The 8,631-nt window shown below is 40.6% G+C and overlaps 1 annotated feature.

The window, feature by feature from the left end:
* Window positions 8,213-8,507: an enhancer, noted in NCBI's record as "tiled region #11939; K562 Activating DNase matched - State 3:PromF". NCBI's record gives its function as "activates a minimal TATA promoter and a strong SV40 promoter by Sharpr-MPRA in K562 cells {active_cell/tissue: K562}" and the evidence as "EXISTENCE:reporter gene assay evidence [ECO:0000049][PMID:27701403]".

Below are 8,631 nucleotides of genomic sequence, written 5' to 3' on the forward strand. Positions count from 1 at the left end.
TCATAGCTGGGACCCTTGTAACAAAACAAAGTTTAACAAAATAAAGATAAGCAGGTTTATTAATGTATACAGCACACATCACACTGGAGAAACCCCAGTGAAAGGTAACTTGAGGCAACAGCTTAGAACTCTGGCTCATATAACATCTTCAACCAAGAATAATAAATTTCTAGAGAAATGAAAGGACAAAGAAAAACAGCCTTAGGCTTCCAAAGGCAGAAAATTGTGGGAAGGTGAATAGATGGGAAGAAACCCCTGGGGTAAGGTTTATTTGCGGATTCTCTGGTGCCATCTCTGGTTAATAATAGTTGTCTCCAGTAAAGAGGAATTTATATCCTGTCTTTAGGTAGAAAGCAAAGGACAGAGACTCTCTCTGTCTCTTCCTTCGTCTGCTGCTTCTTAATTGCCTTTAGCTCAAAAATACTTTTTATGTCAAAAGGCATATTTTGGAATGACATACTCTGGTTTCCTTCATGGGCACAGCCTTTCGGCTAGGCTGTTAGTGTGGGAGTTGCATCAATCTAGCCTGCAGTTGAGCTGTGTTTGGGTCTTTTGTTGTTTCTATGGTTACCCTTCTTTTAGCACTGGCTTTGATTTCCACCGGAATCTTCCTGGGTTTACGGTGAGACTAGAGTGATGGGGTGTTTGTCTCCAGGTCCCGCTGCACCCTCAGCTTCCAGCCTTCCCTGGGTGAACCTTCCTTGCCACGCTGGTCCTCCCCTCCTGGCCCACAGCTTACTTCTTGCTCCAAGTTTGCTGGTCAAGACATGGGGGTGAGCAGAGAAGGGAGCTCTCCATGGTTCTGCTTCAGCCTCAGTCTTAGGCAGGCCCTAAGTGTGTCTGGGTCTCAATGATTCTACCCAAGCCCTCTGACCTCTTCATGGCAGCCAAACACCACTCTGCATCTTTGGTGCCTCTCGTCCAAGAGGGAAGTTCCTGTGCCTCTCAGTGCAATGTCTTGGTAAATGGGATTTGCCTGGGATGGCTTCCTGCTCTCCCCTGGAGCTAGTGTCTTTTTTCTGTATCCTTCCTCCACCCTCTTTGGGTCTACACCTGTGCCACGAGGTGCCAGGTCTTGCCTCCCACCCCCCAGCAGCTTTAGGCACTGCACCTTGTGCCTTCCCCACAGGCACAACTCTGTCCCTCTGTCTTGCCAGCTCCCCCAAAGGAGGGCCATGGAGAAGCACCTGCACAGGGTTTGGGACTCCTCTTGTGTCTGTGGCTCTGAGGAGTTCTGTGCTCTCACACAGACCCACACTTAAGCATTAACACTACGTTGAGGATTTTACTGTTCTGCTTACCTGCTTCTATGACCCAGCCTTCCCCTCCTGTGCCCAGGCACTGTGCTGCATCCCTGTTCTCTAGGAGTTGCCCGTCCTTCCTTAGATTTCAGGTTTCTTGGTTTTCTTGCCATCTCAGCTCTCAGATGAGCTCAAGAAAAATTATGATTTTATAGGTTACTTGTTATTTTTTTTTCTTATTTTAAGGTGGGAGCAATGTTTTTGCACCTTTGTATATCCTAGACAGAAGTGGAATTTATGATAAACAGCATTTTAACTTTGACTTCTCACCCAAAAGCATCTGCTATTTTCTCTCTTCTCTGCCTAGTTCCTAAAGGTGTTCTAACTGAACACAGTCATCTGTTAGAAAAGTTTCCACCTTACCCACCCTGTGCAGTCTGGAGCTGGTCTTTCTACCCTAGGACTAGAAATCTGTGTTAGTGTGACCCTTGAATTCCTGATCACTCATCATCCTGCAGCCTTAATTCCTTTTAAAAAATTTTTAGCACATACGTGCAGTTTTACATAAATCTATGCATGTGATCATAATATGTAATGATTTTTTTCAAAAAGCTATAATTTACATTTCAATTGCCAATGTATGAGAATATCCACTTACTGTATCTCTGCTAGCAATAACAGTTACTTTTTTTCCTGTGTATAAAATGATAGCCCATTGTTACTATAATCTGCTTGTCTTTATTGTAAGCTTGAACATAATGTCATAAATTTGCTGCCATTTAGCTGTGCACTTCTGTGAATTGCCTTTTCATACTGTTTGCCCATTTTTCTATTGGACTATTTGTCCCCTTCAGGTGAATCTCTCAGATCTTCTTATGATTACATATTAGCAATTTCCCCTCAAATAACTGTTGTTCTATTTACTTCTTTGTGATACATTTTATCACACAACTATTTTATTTTTGTGAGCTGGATAATGCGCATCGTTTTGTTTTTTTTTTTTTTTTTTTTTATATAGCTTCTGAGATTCCAACCTTTGTTAAATGGGATTCTCAAGCCTTTAGCTTAAACTTTTTGTTACCTAGAGTTGTACAAAGTGCACAAAAATACAGGCAGCTTTAAAGATGCATAAAAGTCAATGGAATGAAGGTAACTCACAGATGGAGTACGGGACCCTGGCCATCCTGCAGAGTTGAGGTTGAGCTGAGTGTACATGGATTCCCTCATCACGTACATATGTACAGGGAATGGTTGCAGCAAACACGTATTGTCAGAATCCAGGGAGCTCCAACGTAGATCTAATGAGGTAGTTTCTTAATCAACTGCCAAAAGCAGGGAGGTGAGCTTTCAGGGCCATCTGAATTTGTCTCTGCTCACTTAGGCTTTATTCAAAAACTGTGTTATTTTATTTTTTTGAAATGGAGCCTGGCTCTGTCTCCCAGGCTGGAGTGCAGTGGTGTGATCTTGGCTCACTGCAACCTCTGCCTCCTGGGTTCAAGAGATTCTCCTGCCTCAGCAGGAGATTACAGGCACCCGCCACCACTCCCAGCTAATTTTTGTAGTTTTAGTAGAGATGGAGTTCCACCACATTGGCCAGGCTGGTCTCAGGCGATCCACCTGCCTCGGCCTCCCAAAGTGCTGGGATTACAGGCGTGAGCCACTGTGCCTGGCCTATTTTATTTTTTTAATTCAAGTGTTTAATCACTTGGAATTTATTTTTATAAGAAGCGAAATAGCATTCAAATTGCATCTTTTTCCAGATGTGCAGCTATTTTTGCCAATTCTGTTTATTAAAAGGCCTAACCATTTCTCACTAAATAGAAATGCTATCTTCATTATATATTCATGTCTCATATCACCTATTTAAATATCTCCCAGCCAATGCCACATTAATTTTACTGTAATGGCTCTATAGTTTTTCCTATATCTGGTAAGTCAAATCACTTCCTTCCTAGGCTTCTATTTAAAATGTTCCTGGGTATTCTTTGACATTTATTTTCTCATATAAATTTTATGGTCATATAATTCAAGTGAAGCTTAATACAATAATTATCATTGTATATTACACTTGAAAAGTTTCACACTTTTATATCAAAGACTTCTCACACTAGAATATTCTCTGTCTTTCCATTTATTCATATAATATGTTATATTCCTCAATAAGATATTCTATCGTTTTTAATAAAGGTTGTTTCTATCTGGTGAATTTCATTCCTTAATACCTTATGTTTTTCTCATTATTATGGGAATTTTTTCTTATTTTTATTTGTTTTTATTATTAAACTAGAAAAAAACCTAATGCCTTTTACATATTTATCTTATATCCATCTGCCTTACCTAGCTCTTCTGTTAATTCTAATTGTTTATATTGTGTTTTCTGGGTTTTTCTAGTTATAAAATAATGTCATAAAAAGAGACAATTTTATCTTTTGCAAACATTGTCCCACTTATTAAACTCTGTGTCTAATTACGATAAATAGATCTTTGAAGAAAATAATGTTATAATGGTAATAGTAGTAATCCATGTCTAATTTATGATTTTAATCAAACTAGAGTTTGCACTTTATCATTTAGAAGAATAATTCCACTTGTTTTATAGAAATAGTCATTATTTTGCCCAAGCAATTCAAATCTACTTCTTTTATGTAAACTGAAAATTTTACATAAGAATGGCTAACCAGGATTTTATTAAATATCTTTTTAACACTTTGTGTTAATTTTCTTTTTTAGGCTTGGATAATGGATCCAACGTGACCAAGGAGTGACTCATCTTTCTGCCTACTCCATGCCCACACCCATCCAGCTGAATGCGGCTGGGGGAAAATAAATAGACCTTAGGTAGCTCTGAAAGCTGTCCACCAATCAAACTATACTTCCATAGCCTTTTCCTCTCCCACTCCTCTTCCCAGAAACTTCCTACGCTTTTCCACATCCCTACCCTTGGTCGATGATGTCACCTTCTGTTCCGCATCTGAAGAAACTGCAGGCTGATCACCTGTGCTCCTCTCCACCCTCTCCAGCCACTGTCAGCAAGGTTGCCTCCCCTGTGACCTGTGCGTACCCCTCCTCCCACTTGCTCAGGGACAGTGCTCTCAGCATGCCTTTCTCTTGCCCTGAGTAATCAATCTTCCCCATGGATATACAAACGTGCTGCTGTTTCTCTCCAAGGGCTGAAAAATAAAACCCCCTCTTTATCTTACTTTTCTGCCCCATTTTCCTCCCTTTCTTACAGAAGAAACCCTCCAAGCTGTCAGCGTTTACTTTCTCCATTTCCTGCCTTCCCATTCTCTCTTTTTTTTTTGAGACACAGTCTCGCTCTGTTGCCCAGGCTGGAGTGCAGTGGCCCAATCTCGGCTTATTGCAACCTCCACCTCCTGGGTTCAAGCAATTATTCTGCCTCAACCTGCTGAGTAGCTGGGATTACAGGCATGCACCACCAAGCCTGGCTAATTTTTTGTATTTTTAGCAAAGACAGGGTTTCACCATGTTGACCAGGCTGGTCTGGAACTCCTGACCTCAAGTGATCCACCTGGCTCAGCCTCCTAAAGTGCTGGGATTACAGGTGTGCTCCACCGTGCCCGGCCCCATTCTCTATTGAGCTCCTGCTGAATAGGTTTCTGGCCTCTAGAGTTGCACTAAAACAATCCTTAATTTTGGAATTTCTCCTTGGGCATCTTCCTTTTCTATTCAAACTCCCTTAGAGATCTCATGTAATTTTACAGTTTTAAGCAATAACTCTATACTAGAGACTCCCAAATGTTTATTTCCAGACAAGACCTCTCCCCATCAACTCAAGTCCCATACATCTAATGCTCTATTTGATGCCATTTGGATGTCTAGTAGGCATGACAATCTTGATGTCTTCAAATCAGTTTCTGATCTCTCCCCATGTTTACCCATACTTGTTCATCCATCAGTCTTCCAGTCTCTCTTTATGATTCTTCTTTATGTAGATTTCTTCTCAAGCTCCAGTTCTTGAAGTCTTTCTTACCATTTCTTCTCCTCACATCACAAATTCATCCATTAAAATATCCTCTTGATTTTGTCTTAAAAATATATCACATCATTTCTCACCATCTTTACCATCACCACCTTAACCCAAGGTGCCAGGATCCTTGTCTGGATAATTGCAAAATTATCCTGATTTTTCCCCCTCCAATACAGCAGCAAGAGTAATCTGTTGAATGGGAGGCCAAGGAATGGCCACTCTGGCTTCCTAAAAGGCAGGCTCACTACTGCCCAGGTGTCCTGCATGGTCTGGTACCCTGGCCTCTCTGTTGAGCTCTTCTGTGCTTTCTCCTGGGTTTGTTTTGATCCAGCACATGGTCTTTCTCCTGTGGAGTCAGCTGTGTCTTCTCCCTCTGCCTGGAATGGTCTCCCCACCATGCCCCCAGCCCCGCATTTCCACATAGCCAATGCTTTCTCATCTGTTTCAAGTTTTCAGTCATCACCTGAGTGATCTCAATTCCCTAACACACTATCTACCTACATTTTTGTTTTGTTTTTTCTTGAGACAGTTTCTCGCTCTGTCGCCCAGGCTGGAGTGCAATGGTGAGATCTCGGCTCACTGCAACCTCTGCCTCCCAAGTTCAAGCAATTCTCCTACCTCAGCCTCCTCAGAAGCTGAGATTACAGGCGCCTGCCACCACTCCTGGCTAATTTTTTGTATTTTTAATAGAGATGGGGTTTCAGCATGTTGGCCAGGCTGATCTCAAACTCCTGAACTCAGGTGATCTGCCCGCCTCGGCCTCCCAAAGTGCTGGGATTACAGGCGTGAGCCACCGTGCCTGGCCTCTGCCTACATTCTTTATTTCAGCTTTCATCCATTTCACTTATCACCACTTAACATATTAGGTATGTGTTTTCTTCTTAGTTTGTTTCTTGTCTCTCTCTTCACACTAGAGTGGAAGCTCCATGAAGGGTGGTAGAGACTTCTGTTTTTTGTTCTATTTCTGCATTTCTGACACAGATAAAAGTATATGGAACATATTAGGTGCTCAACAACACCAACATAAACTAATAAAATCAGATAAATAAAGGAAAATACTGCTGAAATAAAATTCCTATTACTTAATAAATTTTTCATCTGTATTCATAAACCAGATCTGGGTACAATTTTCCTTTATTGTTCTATATCAGATTTTTTAAAGAGCTATATTGCCTTTGTCAAATGAATTGGGGAGGCCTTTCATCTTTTTTTCTAAGGCCTGGAATAATTTAACTTTGAAAAGCTCTCTTTCTTAAAGGTTATATAAAATTCATGTTACATAAACCTCAGCTGGGAACCCATCTGTTCTCAGTGACTTTTTCAATGGTAGATTTTTAAGTGTCTTTTTCTAAACTCTCTTATGGTAACTGATGTATTTAAGTTTCCCCTTTCTTCTTGGGTGAATTTTGGCAACACATAGTTTGCTGGGAAATCATCCATTTCCTCTAAACTTTCAAATGTCTTGTCAGAAAGTTTCATATATATTTTTATGACTGCTTTAATCACTTCTATATGTATGGTTATTCCTTGTTTCTCTCTCATAATTTGGTTTATTTTTGCCTTCTCTCTTTTTCCTTTAAAGAAGTTCATGAGGCATTAATATAATTAAATTAACTTTGATTAGGATGGCCACTATGAAAAAATAAGTATAACTGGGATGTTTTGGGTACATACCCGAAAGAAGTGGGGTCTTCAAGGGAAATTTGTACCTGGTGTTGATGGCAGCAATATTCATAATAGCTAAAATGTGGAATGTCTGTCAACCAATGAACAGATAGGGAAAATGCAGTCAATACATGCAATGGAATATTATTCAATCTGAAAAAAGAAGGAAATTCTGACAGAGGCTACAATATGGATGAGCCTTGAGGACGTTATGCTGAGTGAAATAAGCGTAATGTATAAGTATAAACACTGTAAGACTTCACTTACCTGAGTTTCCTAGAGTACTCAGATTCATAGAGACAGAAAGAAGAATGGTGTTTGCCAGGGCCTGAGAGTGGAGGGGGTGGGGAGTTGTGTGATGAAGTTTAGAGCTTCGGTTTTACAAGATGAATCTCTGAGAGAAATGGTGATGATGGCTTCAGAATAGTGGGAATGTACTTAACGCCACTAACAGACTGACGGTGCACTTGAAAATGGTTAGGATGTTTTATGGCATTTGTATTGTCCACAATAAAATATTGAAAAAATCATTACTTTGATATAAGAATTATAGTTGAATTTTTAAATTTTTGCTACCTTTTTGTTTTTTAGTTTTTAATATCAATTTACATTTCTTATTCGCTTTTTGTTGGAATTTTTTATACTCTTAGGATGAGGACAAACTCCCTTTGATTTTTTAGCTTCGTTGAAAATAAAGATGATATTTTATGTGATTTTTTTTCCCCCTCTCGGGGGACTGCTTTCACTTTGTTCTACAGTTTTAGATAGGAAGAGTATTCTTCTTCATGACTTTTTACAAAGTTGTAATTTTTCTTTTGATTATATCTTTGAATTGAGTCATTTATTTGGGAATGTATTTCTTAGTTCCCAAGAGATTTTACTTTTCAGCCCCTTTATATTATTATATCAGTTTATGTTCACAGAATAAGCTCAACAAAATTTTTATTTAAAAAATGTACTTATGTATTTTCATTGTATATATTTAAGGTGCACAACATAATGTTTTCATATATATATACACACACATATATATGTGTGTGTATATATGTATACATATGAAAACAAGTGATTACTACAGTGAAGTATTCTATGTATTATCTTTGGTAGTTACCTTGCGTGTGTGTCTACGTAGTGAGAGTGAAACGAGAAAGGTTCCCTTGTGCCCTTTGCAGGGCGTGTGCCCGGAGGTGTGACTCGCTTCTTCAGGCCCCCGCTGCTCAGACTTCTAGGGGAGCATACAGATGGGGCAGGCTGTGGGGCTCCGAGCCCAGGGCAGTGTCTAGGTGTGGATGTTTACAGCTCCTGAAGCCCCAGCGGGCGTGTGTTACAGGGTGCTCTTTTAGTTTTGCTACCTACAGGCTGGTGTTAACCAGCTCAATTAGACCCTCTATCTTGTTGCAAAGACAGAGGACTTTCTGTATCCCGGGTTCTTATCTTGGTGTACCAGAAGGATCGGATCACACCTGGGCTTGGAGAATGAGTGCAGGGTTTCATTGAGAGGAAGTAGCTCTCAGCGGATGGGGGAGCCAGAAGGAAAATGGTTTTTCCCTTGCAGTCGGGCTGCTCAGCGACCTGGGCTCTCCTCTTGACTGCCCTGGCCAAACTCCACGTCGTTTTGCCGGTAGGTGGCCTGCCAATGTGCCAGCGCCTGCCAGTGTGTTCCTCTTGATGTCCAGCTGCCTCTGTGTCTTCTTCCGCCCAGCTGCCTCTGTGTCTTCTTCCGCCCAGCTGCCTCTG

Source organism: Homo sapiens, chromosome 10 (genome assembly GCF_000001405.40).
Source record: "Homo sapiens chromosome 10, GRCh38.p14 Primary Assembly".
In the NCBI taxonomy this organism is placed as follows: Eukaryota; Metazoa; Chordata; class Mammalia; order Primates; family Hominidae; genus Homo; species Homo sapiens.